Here is a 16479-nt window from a genome sequence, read left to right on the forward strand (position 1 = left end):
GGGGAAAGCCCTCTCCTGCCCCCTCTCCTTCAGCCCATGCCTGTCTAACTACCTGTAACACAAGTAGTAGGCACTCCATAAATATTTACAAATAAATCAGTGCAAGCAAGAATGAATAGATGAAGTGAAAGAGCTCAAGAATATCGAAGGAGGGCTGAGGGAGCCTGTGCTGCCAAATAGTTGTAGCCAGCCCCACATCAGGAAGGACTAGAGTTGGGACATTAAGGGCCAACAAGACTCAGGTAACCAAGAGGAAAGAAAAGGTGTACACATTTTACACTCAGCCTCAGTAGTAAGGGAGAAGCTACTGCTGTTGGATGGGGTTTCTTTTAATTGGAAAATGAACTTCTTGAGAAGTGCAGTGGGAACTTGATAGATATGCTGAATCACAAACACTTTCATCTGAAGGAAGAAGGGAGAGGACAGGGAGGTGTTACAGTAGGAAGGCACTGGATTCAGGATGAGAATGCCTGCGTTAGAGCACTAAGCTCCACTACTTACTAGCTCTGCAGTATCAGGTAATCCATGCATCCCTGGGATTCTCTGTATATTCACCTCTACAATGGCAGTAGGACATGAATTCAAGTACTTTCGTTAACCAGCTGACTCTATATGGACTTGTTCCAGAATGCTAGCTTTGCTTTCAATGTGTGCTAATCTAGACTGAACATAATAATGTAAAGCATGTTGGAGGCAGGAACTGGAGCCCCATGTAGAGAGAAGAATCACTCTATTGCTGTGAACACAGTTAAGGCAGCCTAAGGTATCCATCAGTGCACTTGGCAGCTGTACAAACAAAACAACCAGGATCCAATGGACTAAAATCCCACAATCCCTCTGCCAATTGTTACTGCCATATCATTCTCCATTTGACATTTTCCCTTTATAATTTATCCTCTTGTAAAATTTGCTTTATCATGCTCTGTCTGCAGTGTCTGTTTAGATCCTAATATGCATATATACTTTCTACTCTTCCAACCTCTGTTCCAGTGATAAACCCACCTTGCCAATCATCAGCTAAGGTACTGATAACATTCTGGAAAATGATGGTGCCTAGAATAGGGCCCTGGAAGTTTCTACCAGAGACCAGTGACTTTGGTGCATTCATCATCATTAGATAAGTATAGGTTTAGTTATTTTGCCATTTACAATACCCAAAATACTACAGGAACAACCAGTCTATTATTTTCTTTTGCACATAATAATAGTAAAATATGCCAAGACAAGGGGCATCTATCATGCGTTGTGAAAATGAAGACACTGGTATCTACAACATTTCTCTGATTTTCCATCACAAACGGGAAGAAATCAGACCAATAATATTATCAATTAACCTTGAAAGGCTCAGGGTTCCCTTTTATTCTCTCCAAGTGTTGACAGGATAATCTGCCTGATACTCTTCACTGGAATCCTGCCAGAGAATCAAATCAAGTTCATAGATTATTCCCAAGGCCTTTCCCCTTTGAAGTCTTGTACCCACCTCCAGACTGAGCAAAGCTCCCATTCTCCAAGACTTCTGAAGGGGAAAGGACTTATCTTCATACTTACAAACTTACCAATGCCTGAAATCACAAATTGGTTGCTGGCTCTGAATTTTACCTGGTGCGTTTATTTTGTTTGCATATTGCTTAGCTATCTGGTAATGTGAGTAATGGCCAAAGAGCTGTAGGCAATTCCAGTGACTAAGTCAGTTGTACAGAGCACCCAGTTCTCTCTTTCATGTGCTCTACCTGCTACTTGCCTTTCTTTGACCTGGAACCTTCACTGCTTTGTGACTTATACACCATTGAGTTTGTCTTTCCTTTTCCTGTCTAGTACCTTTCCTCTTTAAAAGAAGTCAGTAAATCCACCAATAAAGAGAAGGTGGAGGGAAAATACAAATTCTAATTTCTTCCCTATAACTTTTATCTATACAAATGCTTTTGAAACTTTAATGTGTCTGTGAATTACCTGGAGATCTTGGTAAAAATGTAGATTCTGATGCAGCAAGAAGGGCCCGGGATTTTGCATTTTTAGTAAGCTCTCCGGGGATGATCACACTGCTTCTCCCCGAACTAGAGTTTGGCTTTTGACCTAGATTGTACATTAGATTCACCTTGAAGTTTTAAAATATACCTATGGCTAGACCTTACTCCAAAGAATCCATTTAATTGGTCTGGGATAAGGCCAGGACATTTTTTTCTCTGAAAGCTTCCCAGGTGATTGTAATGTGTAGAGGGATGAGGATTAATATTCCACACGAGTGGGTCTCAAACTTCAGTGAGCATTAAGATTTCCCAGGGGGTTGATAACAATACAGTGTTGGTCCCATTCCCAGAGTTTGACTCAATTGGTCTAGGATGGGGCTGATAATTTGCATTCCTAACAATCTCCCAGATGATGGTGATGCTGCTTGTGGTCCATAGACCATACTTTGGAAAAATCCAAGCAACCAAACTGCTCTTCCAACATCTACCTTGCACACAAGGTTTAAAAAATCAAGAAAAAAAAAAAAGAAAACCAAAACCCAAACCTAGTACTTTCATTGACTCAAACATCTTGCAAACCTCCACTCCGGGACTTTAGGCTTCCTGATACTACCCCTGTAGTCTCTCGTCACTGTTTCACAGGAGTCTGCATTTACCACCCACCACCCACCAGCTTTTGTAGGATGTGGTTCCATGGAAAGTTTGCTATGTATTCACATTTATCTCTTTAAATTATTTCTCTGCTCTTCTTCCCTGGGGTCATGACTAGAGATTGAGAATTCTACTCCTATGTGCCTTCTCTTTCCCTTGGCTCTGCCATCTTCCTGCTTCTGGTCTCAAGTTCATTAAGAAAGTTACTTTTGCCTTTTTGAAATCTGTCTCTCCAAAGCATCACCTGTCCATTTGGCTATGTCCAGGCCACTATCCCCTGGCTAAGGAGCTCTGATGACATTGATCTTTTCCTCCAAGATTCCTCCTCTCTAGGTCCTCCTTGCTGGCTCAAGTAAGATTCAGAAAAGCAATTATTTTCTCTTAACTGGCCCTTGGGTATAATAACAGACAGTGGAAGGATATTTAATCAACAAATGTGTTGAGCACTTACAATATACCAGGCACCATTCTTCATCCCTGAAGACACAGCGGTTACATAAGAAACCAAATCCCCTGCCATAGGGGAGCTGGCATTCTAAAGGACATGGGCAGCATTTCTCACATTCTCCACTTTTATCCAGAGGTTACTGCTGCAAGATGCACAATCAGATCCACTGAAGAACACTCCAACTCAGAGTTGTACTTTCCTTACTGTATTTCTTCTGTTTCTCTACTGTGCCCTCACTTCTCTCTACTGTGCCCTCACTTCTATTTAAAAAACTTGGATGTTCCAATGCTTTATTTTGTTTGCTATTACTTTATGCTTTAGCCCACCATCCTGAGGGCTCCAAAAAGATATGAAGATCCAAGCAGGCAAATCCCCAGCTGTCTACACACCTGGCTCCATAGTTGAGAAATTGCTTTGTCTCTCAACTGCAGAAAACTATTCACTATGAGAAAGGGAACTAGTGTTTTCCTAGGGAGCAATTATTCTAACTTTGAGTCAGCCAGCCAGCTAGCAGCATCCATTGTTGGAGTAATTGGCATATTTTTTTAACCTTGTTCTTCTAACAAACAGGGCTCTCCTGCAAAATCTGCATCTGGCTATTGAGCTGAACAATGACCGAGTGCATCTTAGTAATGGCCATCCTCCCAGTGAACATTTATAACTAAGTAAAATTGGGTCAGGCAAATCAGACTGGTCTTTGAGCCAATGGGGCAGAGCTGCCTTCGGAACTACCCAGACATTTGGTTCATAGAGACAGTATAGAGACAAATGTACTCAGCACTGTGCCAAACAATTCATATCCATCACCCCATTTAAACCTGAAAGAAAACAGCTCTATTTGGGGACTATTATCCTAATTTTAATAAAAGGACAGATTGGCATAATAATTTTCATGTCACACAGTTGATAAATGGCAAAGCTGGAATTTGAACTCATATATCATTGGCCCAGAACTCTATACTATTAATCACTAAATTAGAATGCCCAGAACATGATTTCTTATTTGCCCAAGAACAGCAATCACAGACAACATATATAAAGTAATAAACCCCTAACCAGAATGAAATAAGATTTTTTTTTACAAGAGAAGCAAATGTGTGGACAGAACATAATAATTATACTAAGATTGACTATTAAACAGCACTGAAAGTGATTCAGAAGAATGAATGTTATAGAGAAGTGCTCAGTTATTTTCAAGATGATCTCAACTACATAAATGCACATATACATGCCAAGAAAAAGCATGAAAGAAATATACAAAATGGTTTACGCAATTATGAATTATTATTTACTCCATTAAATTATTATTTACTCCAAAACAACAGAAAATTTTGATTACATTAAAATCAAGGCTAGTGTTCATCAAAAAACATTTTGGAGAAAGTGGAAATAAAGATACAACCCATGAGAAGATGATATAGTTTGGCTGTGTCCCCACCCGAATCTCATCTCGAATTGTAATCCTCATAATTCCCACGTGTGAAGGGAGGAACCTGGTGGGAGGTGATTGGATCATGGGGGCAGTTCCCCCATGCTGTTCTCATGATAGTGAGTTCTCACGAGATCTAATGGTTTTATAAGGGGTTCTTCTCTGTTGACTCTTTTTTCTCCTGCCACCATATGAGAAGCTCCAAGCTTGCTTCTGCCATGATTGCCTTCTGCCATGATTGTAAGTTTCCTGAGGCCCCCGAGTCATTCAGAACCGTGAATCAATTAAACCTCTTTCCTTCATAAATTACCCAGCCTCAGGTATTTCTTTACAGCCATATGAAAATGGACTAATACAGGAGATATTTGCAATACCTCTATCAATAAAGGATTACATTAGGGATATATGCTAGGACTAAACATACATATGCTCATGGAACATATGCTTTAGGAGTGTGTGTTGCATATGTGTGTGTGTGTGTGTGTGTGTGTGTGTATATATATATATGTATATATATATGTGTATATATATGGACTGAATATGTATGCCCGCCTAAAATTCATGTGTTGAACCTCTACCCTCCAACGTGATGTTATTAGGAGGCAGGTTGTCTGGGACATGATTAGGATTAGATGCAGTCATGAGGGTCCTTTAGATATCACAGAGCTTGCTTGCTCTGTTCTGCTCTCTGCCATGTGAGGGTACAATAAGTAGGCAGTCTGCATCTGGGAAGAGGTCCTCACCAGAACCCCTCCATGTCGACAGCCTAATGGCAGACTAACTGTCTCTAGAACTGTGAAAAATAAATTTCTGTTGTTTATAAGTCACCCTGTTTATGCACCTTGTTATAGCACCCCCCAGGCTAAAAAGACACTATGTGTGTATATGGAATGCACACATACACACACACACACATATGCAAATAAAATATTAGAAATACATATGTGTATATCCCCTACAAATCGGGAAGATAAAGACAAATAACTCAATAGAAAAAAGGACAGGCACTTCACAGAAAAGGAAATTATATGATCAATGAACATATAAAGAGATGCTCAACTTCATTAGAAATCAGGGAAATGTAAATCAAGACCACAGTAAAAGAGTATTTGATACTAGTTTAACTGGCAATGTTAAAAAAAAAAAAAAAAAAAAAAAAAAGAGACCAGGCACAGTGGCTCACACCTGTAATCCCAGCACTTTGGGAGGCCAAGGAGATCACTTGAGGCCAGCAGTTCAAGACTAGCCGGGCCGACATAGGGAAACTCTGTATCTATTAAAACACACACAAAAAAAATTAGCTGGGTTTGGTGGCACTTGCTTGTAATCCCAGCTACTTGAGACGCTGAGGTGGAAAAATCTCTGGAATCCAGGAGGCAAAGGTTGCAGTGAGCCAAGATCGCATCACTGCACTCTAGCCTGGGTAACAGAGCAAGCTCCATCTCAAATAAATAAATAAAGTCAAAGGAATGTCATATAGTGCTTATCTGAGTATTCATTAGTACCACCACTGGCAAACAATTTCCATCTCATAAAGTTGAACATTCATGTTCTCTAAGTCCCAGCAACTCAGCTCTCCTGCTCAATATTGACCCAAGAGATGCTTTTTCTAAGTGCCCCAGCAGACATGTATGAGTGTATTTGCAGTAGTACTGTTCATAATGACAAAAACCTGCAAACAGCCCAAAATTCATTGACAGGAAAATGGATAAGCCACAGTGCAGTCATACAATAGAATACTATGCAGCAGTGGAACAATGCAATCATTGTATAAATCATAGTAACATAGTATTGGGTGAAATCCAGTACTATCAATTGGATTTCCTAAAAGACTATCTGTAAGTCCTAAAAGACTGTCTATAAAATTCAGGAGCATAGTTATCTCTTGGGAAAAAAAAGAAGATGGTATAAGAAAGAAGTACATAGACAGATATGAATTACTGGTACTATTATAGTTCTTGGGCTGGGGATAGGTTAGCAAGTTCTAATTATATTATTAAAACATAAAGAGTGCGAGTGTGTGTGGACCAATCATGACAGTCCTTCGCATAAGAAATGTCTACCTCAAATGCCTTTGAGGCAACACACAAAATACATACATAATAATTACAACTAAGATTCTCATTTTCCTCCTCTACATCTATAAATAATGATTATTGTGCTTCTTGGATCATTTACTGAGCCATTCTCCTATAAATGACTTAAGAGTTAACAAATCTCCATCACAGCCACTGTCTCTGTCTCATCAATTCTGTTAAAAATGTGGTTCTATTCCCATTTGATCAGAAGAGAAAACTGAGGAACACTGGAGTTAATTATGCCAATCCCCCTAGATTTACAGCTTGTAAGTAGAAGAGTCAAAGCTTGAATGTAGGACTTGCAAATCAAAATAAACTCTCTTTTCTAAGGCATCCCAGAAGCTCTGGGGGCGTGGGGGAGGGTTGCTCGAAGGAGTCTATGTGTATTTATGAAAGAGTATCAGAGTCACCAGGTCAACAATAGGCAGATCACCTGGACCTATTTTATCTTTAGTATCATTTTCACTCTCATGATTAAGAAGCCATGAATAGTGAAAGCTATAGCTTTTCTCCATGAAAGAGAAAATTATGACCCTTTATAAGCCTCAGTCCTTTCTGTTTCATTAGCCTGACATTCTGCTTTGTCCTATATAGAAACATGAATCCTGTGCTTCTATCTGGTGATCCCTAAAAGATTAAAATTATGAGATTGTGGAGAAAAAGGAACACTTATACACTGTTGTTGAGATTGCAAATTAGTTCAGCCATTGTGGAAGACAGTGTGGTGATTCCTCAGAGACCTAAAGACAGCAATACCATTCGACCCGGCAATCCCATTACTGGGTAAATACCCAAAGGAATATAAATTATTCCATTATAAAGAGACATGCATATGTATGTTCACTGCAGCACTATTCACAATAGCAAAGACATGGAATCAACCCAAATGCCCATCAGTGATAGACTGGATAAAGAAAATGTGGTATATATACACCAAGGAATACTAAATAGCCATAAAAGAGGAGATCGTGTCCTTTTCAGGGACATGGATGGAGTTGGAGGCCATCATTCCTAGTGAACTAACACAGGAACAGAAAACCAAGTGTTAACATGCTCTCACTTACAAGTGGGAGCTAAATGATAAAATAAATGGACACGTAGAGAGGAACAACATACACTGGGGCCTCTTGGAGGGTGAGAGGAGGAAGAGGATCAGAAAAAATATCAGGTACTAGGCTTAATACTTGGATGGTGAAATAATCTGTACAGTAAGCCCCCACAACATAAGTTTACATACGTGACAAACCTGAAATTGTATCCCTGAATTGAAAATAAGTGTTAAAAAAAATTAAGGTCAGACATCCAGGCTACTGGCAGGACCTCAGGTCTGCAGCAATAACCTACCATAGAGAAATGAAAGATCCAGGAAACATCCATTGTTATGTACATCAGGCTCCTCCTCTGACCCTCACAAAGGTGACCTACATTCTAGTTTTAACTGGGATTCTCCTGGCTTGGGTAGTGAAAGTCCAGCTTTTTAGTAATCCCCCAATCCTGGGCACACTGCAATGGTTGGTCCCCCTAACCTGGACTCCTTCAATTATCCCATTCTGACATATTAGTTTGGTGCAAAAGTAATTGCTGCTTTTGCCATTACTTGTAATGAAAGTAATGCCATTACTTTTAAAGAAGCCATGAATAATGAAAGCTATAGCTTTTCTCCACGAAAGAGAAAAATGGCAAGAGCAGCAATTACTTTTGCACTAACCTAATAATAGACCTTTTTCTTTTTCTCATGAATGGAAAAAATTTAGGATAGGTCAAAATTAAGCCCAGGGCTTTCATATGTGAACAAGTTTATGTCTATGTCTCTGGAGAGAACTTGCAGATATGGGCATAAATTTTTCTCAAAGATTTCTTAATACTTCTCATTTCCCCATGCTCATCTATGTGTTGTCCTTCTGAAAATTCTCATTCACATTGACAATGACATGCATGACTCACTAGGGTGTATGTATATTTATTTGGAACAAAAAGCTTTCAGACCAAGATTTCTGACATTCGAATAACTGGAATCTAAATGTTACCATATCCTGGAATTACATCCTGTTCATTTTCTCACCCTCTTTGCACAGTGGCTCAAAAGTAAAAATGACAAATGATATACAAGCAGGAATTCCCCCTAAATTGTCATATGTGGAAAATAAGGCCACACCTGTCCCCAGCTCATCTGCAATTCAGAGGAAGTGGTTGATATATTTACCAGCCTGTTGCCTTACATTTTATGCAGACAACCAGATCAATTACACTAATGAAGATAATCAATATCCAGGAAGATTTTGCAATAGGGGTGTACCTGATCTACAAAAGCCACACAGGCAGAGAATCCAGTGGAACCAATAGGATTGCACTGTCTTTTTCTTATTATGTTAACAAGCTATCTGACATGATGATGTTTATAGGGAAAAAATTGTGTAGCATATATCAAAGACTATTAATTATAGAAGGAATGGGTAATACAAGCCATCCATTTACCTCCAACCACCTACCATGGTGCAGATGATTTCTAATACTCAGCCTTTAAGGAATATCAGAATCCCCTTGGATTATCTGTGTTTTCCCCAAATTAATATGTTGAAATCCTAATTCCCAGGGTGATGGTATTAGGACATGGGGCCTTTTGGAAAGTGATTAGGTCATGAGGGGAGTGCTTTCATGATTGGGATTATGACCTTATAAAAGAGGCCCCAGAGAGCTGTCTTGGCCCTTTTACTACATAAGGACACAGAGAGAAGGTAACTTCTTAAGCCACAAAGTGAGCCCTCACCAGACACCAAATCTGCTAATGTCATGATCTTAGACTGCCCAGTCTCCAGAACTGTAAGAAATAAATTTCTGTTGTTTATAAGCTAACTAGTCTACTGTTTTTCATTATTGCAGCCCAAATGGACTAAGATAGAAGGCTTGTTCAAAGACAAGTTGCTGGGCCCATGCACAGTGCTTCTGATTCAGTAGCAGTGGAATGGAACCCAACATTTGCATTTTAGCAAGTTCCTATTGTTGATCCTGTTCAGGAAGGATCACACTTTGAAAACAGTGTTCTCAAAGGGGTAGGAAAGTAATGTTTTTCCCCAAGCTCAGTGGTCTTACATCTAAACAAGTCCAAGTATGTATCTCTGGAAGGCAGAGCTCCAAATACTTCTGAAAGATTCCTTAATACTTACAAACATGAAGTTCTACCCATCCATTGCAAGTGGCACTTAGACGATCAACTCTCCAGTGATGATAGCTTAAGTGAGAGTCATGCAGTAACACGAATACAGTGAAATGTAAACTGTGGAAATTGTGTGTAATGTATGAGTATTCACCGTATAGTTTTTCTACTTTTACATGCTTCAAAATTTTATTTTGAAATCTTAGGGAGAAAAAAATTCAACCTCCAACGAGCTATTTTTTTTTTTCAGGCATATTTGGAGTTACACAGAAATACCTTCATTTTAAATGAATTATATTTTTCAGCCCATGTTTTTAAAGGAATCATGTAATTGAAATAATATATACCGGACACACATGATGATGTTAAAAATTTTAAACATTGGGTGTTACAGGGTTGGAGATGGCTATGTCAGTGGGTCAGTGTGGGGATGGCAGGTGGGATGTGTAGGGGAAAACTGGGTGAGGAGCTGTTATTGAGGAAGTATCCACATGGGAGAGTAAAAATAGGAAAAGAAGTTTAAAATATTAAAGTGTATCAAATAGGATTGCATTTGACTGCAAGCAACAGAAAACTCAGTGAACATATAGCGATTTATTTTTCTGAAACAAGGTAAAGTCTGCAAACAGTTGAGGTCTATTGCAGCTGGTTAAGGAAGATGTCAAGAACCTGGATTATTTTTATTTTCCTGCTTTGCTCTCCCTTTGATGCATGTGACTTTCATCCTCAGATTCATGAAATGACTGCTGCACTTCCAGACTTCACACCCACGATCCAAGCAAAAAACATTAAAAAAAGCTACAGACCTCCCTCTTCCTGAGGCTTTATATTTTTATTCAGGAAGGGACACCCTTCTTGCACAATCCTTATAATTTTTTGGCCCCAAGCACATTGCCTAGCCCCTTCTGAATGTCGGCTGCTTCCAACTATAGAGTAGATAACAGAAGTTACTGAAAATGCATCTTGGCTGAGAAAACTCTCAAACTAATATCCCAGGAGATGTCATATAAACTTTTCCTGCCTAGCAACTTCTTTAAACTGGCAGGTAACAAGGACTCAGCACAGTCACTGATGCCAATAAGAAAAACCTTGGAGATCTCTAAACAACTTATTAAATTCTGGAAAACTTGCCCAGAATTTAAGTGTTTAAACAGAGGGCAAAGAAAGGAAGGCTCATGTGTGGACTCTGAAGGAAATCTCAATGAGAATTCCACAGAGCGGATGGTCTGGGCAGGGTATTTTCCACAGAGCTGTCTTTGGAAGGCTGCTTAAATGTATACTATCCCCAGAGTTGTTTAACTAAAACTCAGCACAGGAAAACATCAGGGTTGGCAAGGACCACTCCAATCCATGTTGCATAGATCATTAGGTTGTTTCAGAAGCCTGCCCGCTCTGTGGGTAGCAGCAACTGTCCCACATTCACTCCCATTCTGGATTGTATTTTAAGGCAAATTTTCTATTCAGCTTCTATTGCTAGCACATGAGGAATCACAATGAGATGTTCCATTTCAGGCTGTGATTTCTGTGCCAAACTGTATTGGAACAGAACTGAGCATGGATCTAATTCTGCCACTCCCTGCTGCAATCCACTCTCATCTGCTTTATAACCAAAATTAAAATTAGGTATAATCCTAAATCGAGGTGATATGTTTTCATCCAAAATGGAGGCAGAACTAAAGATATGATAAAGAAATTGTATTTTTATCCTCATCCAAGCAGATGCCTAGACCTCAGTCTTTGTGTAGATCATCTACTGATTGAAAGAGTTTTACATTTGTTTTACTGATCTCTGTTCTCATTTTTAATCACCTTGCTAGACTTTTTGACAGTCCTTCGAAATCAAAACAGAAGCCACGCAATCATTTTCCCAGTTCATTTCACACTGCAAACTACTGAAGAATTATGAAAATACAAAGATATCATGATGCTTCTGTCTATCTATCACTAAGTTCAATGCCTGGGCTTATAGGTATCCATCTAAGTCCCCCAAGCTGTGTATTCTGTACTGGAAAGCTTGTAAACACACAGTGGGACCCATGCTATGCAATGAGGGGTAAGTGGGAAAAGTCACAGCACTGTTCACTCACTACGTGTGTTGGCTGCTGTGAAATGTCTCTCAACTACATTCCATGTTTCCTCTGGGTGGAAAAGTTAAATGATACATTTCCCAGATGACTTTGCAGCTAAGACTCTGGATGCAAATTAGTTATCATAATTTAAAAGCACACATATAGAACTTTGGGAAGTGTGGTAGATAATAAAAAATATTTTATTTATCCAAAAGAAGGCAAGAAAAGAGAAGGGAAAAATAAAATGGGAGGACAAAAAACAATTAGTATGATGGTTGGCTTAAACCTAAGTAAATCAGTAATTTTGGTAAATGTAAATGAGTTAAGTATGACAATTAAAAGAAGAGATGGTCAGTTTTTTTTTTTTTAAAAAAAAAACAACTTTAAGTTGCTTGCAAGAGATGGTCCTTAAATACAGGGCACAGAATGGCTACAAATAAAAGAATGGTGTGATAGGTTGAACAATGGCTGCAAAGATATCAGGTCCTAATCCTGGAATCTGTAAATGTTATCTTATTTGCAAAAGGTGTCTGTGCAGATGTGAGTAAATTAAAGCTCTTAAAATGGGGAAATTATCTTAGATTATCTGGGTGGGCTATAAATGCTATCACATGTGTCTTTACGTATTTGTCTGTTTTCATGCTGCTGATAAAGACATACCCAAAAGTGGGTAATATATGTTAGATATGAGTTCAAATTTCTTTTCAAAGGATTAATATGTCAGTATGTTCAATTATTTGTCTTCTACTTTTAAACTTAACTTCCTTGTAAAGCAACCTTTTTCTGTTACCTACTCCACCCTGACTCATTCTGATCACCTGCTCTACCCTAACTCATTCCGATTACCTGCTACCTGCTCTGCCCTGACTCCCGCCAATGCACTCACCCCATCACTCTCTTTAAATTAGCCAATCGGAATTAGTTTAGCCTGTGCGGTCTAACCCTAGCCAACAGGAGAACAACACAGCAGCAGGGCCACGTGCATCAGGGATGAGAACCCCTTCCCCTCCCTTGTCCAAGTGTGTGCTCACCATTGCTCCATCTATAAGGGCCCACCCTTCTATAGAAGTAACTTGCGTTGCTGAGAATTAAAAGGAAAATTTTATATTTGAGCGCTATTTATTTAGTGGCACCAAAACTTTATATATAACATTTATAAAGAGAAAGAGGTTGAATGGACTCAGTTCCACATGGCTGGGAAGGCCTCACAATCATGATGGAAGGTGAAAGGCATGTCTTACATGGCAGCAGGCAAACAGAATGAGAACAAAGCAAAAGGGATGTCCCCTTATAAAACCAACAGATCTGTTTGAGACGTATTCACTACTACAAGAGCAGTATGGGGGAAAATGCCACCATGATTCAATTATTTCTCACCAGGTCCCTTCCACAACATGTGGGAATTATGGGAGCTACAAGAGCTACAAGTCAAGATGAGATTTGGGTGAGGATACAGCCAAACCACATCATTCCGTGATATGCCACAAATGCCATCACATGTGTCTTTATAAGAGGATGGCTGAGGGACATTTGCTGTGTATAGACAGATGAAGAGGAGGCAGTGTGACCATGGTGACAGAGATTGGAGTGATGCAGCCACAAGTCAAATGCTGGCAGCCAGTAGGAGCCAGAAGAGGCAAGGACCCAATTCTCCCCTAGAGCCTCTGAAGGGAACATAGCCAGGCCAACACCTTGATTTTTCAACTCTGTGATTTCAGACTTCAGAACTGTCAGAAAATACGTGTGCTGTGTTAAGTTACCAAGTTTGTGTCAATTTGTTATAGCAGCCTTAGGAAACCAATACAAATGGAAAATAACATACCTTGCAAAACCAACCAAAGGAAAGCTGGAATAACTATATATTCATCTCTAGTATTGCTTCTTACCTGGGAAGCAGTCATTTGAAAGTGATAAAAGGAAAAGAAAGTGCAGCTGTTTTTCTGCTCTGTTTGTCTTTTCTCCTAGAAAGTAAGGCCATGGGATCACAAAGTTATCTGTAAGCAGCTTTTTAGTGTCCATTCTTCTCCTTCTTGGGGGCCAAGAGCCAGCCTTAATAGCAGCAGAGGACACTCTTTAGTTCTGGAGACTTCATTTCTGTGTCCTAGTTACTATGGAGGAGATATCTTAAGCTCCTAACTTCAGTTGTGGCTCCAGACATAGCAGCAAGATGACTGACTCTTTATTGTCCTGGAGCAAGGTCCAAGCCATAGTTTCCTGGCCTAATGCTTACTTGTATAATTCTCTATAAGCAAAAAAATATATATATATACACTTTCAATAGAAAACTGCCAGGACACCTCCCAGAACCCAGGAAGGGGGCCATGAATGTGAAAGGCCCCTCACCTACAGTTCACTGGTTCATAGTGAGGGTATCTTTCTTGGGTCACAGTCTAAAACCACTCCTGTAGCCCAGCACATAAGTTTGTAAGCACCTAAGCCCTTGGATTAAATCTTTTCCTACTAAAATACCTAGAGGAATTTTCACACCAAAGCCCAACTGATATACCTTTAAAAAGCCACTTCTCCTTCTGAGGTTACCACCTCTCTTTTTTTCAGTCAAACAACACTGCCATTATTACATGCTAGGAACGTAAAGATTAACTATTTGGTTATGCTTTGCCTACCTGAAACAAAAGGGCTATTTATCATTTTTGTTTGTCATTTCACCTCACTACATTCCTTTAATACAGTGTACTCCAACAACTTCTTCTGGGAATTGTGTCATCAACAGGCTACATATGCCATGTTTCTAAAGGGGGAGAATTAATCTATTGTGTTTGTAATTTCTGCATGGGGGAGGTTCCTAAGATGACATTGTCAATTCCACCAACCTATGGGCTACCAACCTATGTCAATTCTACCAACCTATGGGCTCTGTGAATGTTACTGACAATGATACAACTTGAATGATCACTAAGTCACCACAGAGCGCAGTACAAACAGGATATAAAACAGAAATTTTGGCCAGAGTGGTCTTAATCCCATGTCTCACTAGGAAAGAATAGGGGAGTCTGGAAACACATGACCACAATGAACAATGCCAAAAGTCACATAAGCCTGGCTCCTGTGAAGTAAGTTTCTTTCCCACCAAACTTCCGCCATGGGTCTTTCCGAAAGCCCCATGTGAATCCCTCCTATGCAATATGTTGTTTTGTAAAATAAGAGGACACACAGGCCTTATTTTCCATGAGAAAATATTTTACACTATAGCATTACAAGAACCATAAAAGGCTCATGGGAAGGCTCAATGAATACCTGTTGAACGAATAATCCTAATCAATGTAACAGTGGCCCCCACCAAGTTGCCTTATGGTCCACACAAAGCAATGATCAGTCACTCATAACTTAGACCTAAATTAAAGAATAATGGTCTGTCAGGACTAAGGGTCATTTTGGAGACCACCTGAGTCCCACCATTCAATGGAACCTTGAGGCACACCTACCAGATTCTGGATGGGTGGTCACTCAGGTGATGTACAAGCTCTTCTCATCAGTCCCCCTTTGAGGAAGCTGGAACTTCCTGAAGCAGCTCAATTCACTTTCACAGAATTCGACTTGTAAATGGAATGGGTGAAACAATGGATTAGTATGATGGCTCACACCAGCGATCCTTATAGGGAAGTCATGTTCTTTTTAGGAAAATCTTGAGAAGCGCCGCACCTGAGGAGGCAGGCGAGATCCTGTGCACAAGGACTGGCGAGAAATAAGACAAGAAGAGACACCACCAGCTATCTCTACATGGAAGAGACAGGGGACAGAGAAAAGGGAAGCAGGGGAGAGAGGGAGATTGAGCAACTGGGTGGGGTACTAGATCCTGACCCACGGAAGTGACTGAGGAGTACTTGGAAGAGGGAAATAGAGCACCGAACTTCAAGTATTATTTTTTAATTGTGTGCTTTAAACTTCTTCATCTTTTTAGGTCTCCAGTAAAGTATCTTATGTACACCAAGGCCTCATAAGTGAATTGTCAGAAACCAAACAGGAGTGAGTCTACACCTTCTGGGGAGAACATGACGCTTCAACAGGCAGAGAAACAGGCTTCTGACACACTGAGTTGGCAGAAAAATCTTTGTTGATATAGAGGTTGCATTTAAACCATTGCTCTCTAAGCTAAAGTCTACTTTTACTAGATCATCTCCTATTGGTACTAATTCTTCACTTTGAATTTGCATCAAGCCAGACTTCATGACCCTGGACCAACCATCAGACGGTCTTTTATTCTTGGGCCAAGACATCCTCTCTCCACACAGACGGTTTTGTCTCTACCACTTACTTAGAATGCTCTCCACCAAACAAGCTCAGCTTTTTACGTGTTTCTCTTCAAGCACAACAAAGGGAACTAAACAAAATACTCTGGAAGGAGCTGGTCCATTCTGTGAGCACCAACAACATCCCAGATAACGTTTACATTTGTTCTGCATAACCCTGATGAAGGAATTTCAGTGGACCAACAGCAAATAGAAACTCCGTGTCACTGTTCCCTTGGATGCTTCCAAATTATGTCTTCTACCCTCATTCTTGGACTTGGTAGTTAGAATTTTCTTTGGGCTTATACTCAAGAAATTATACTCATCCCTCTTGAATTTAATCTTCTGACATTGAACCTGTTTTCCAGCCAGTAGAAATCATTTTAAAAACTGATTCTAGAATCTAATAATTTTACAATTCCTTCAAAACTTGTGT

Source organism: Homo sapiens, chromosome 3, assembly GCF_000001405.40.
Source record: "Homo sapiens chromosome 3, GRCh38.p14 Primary Assembly".
NCBI classification, from domain to species: Eukaryota; Metazoa; Chordata; class Mammalia; order Primates; family Hominidae; genus Homo; species Homo sapiens.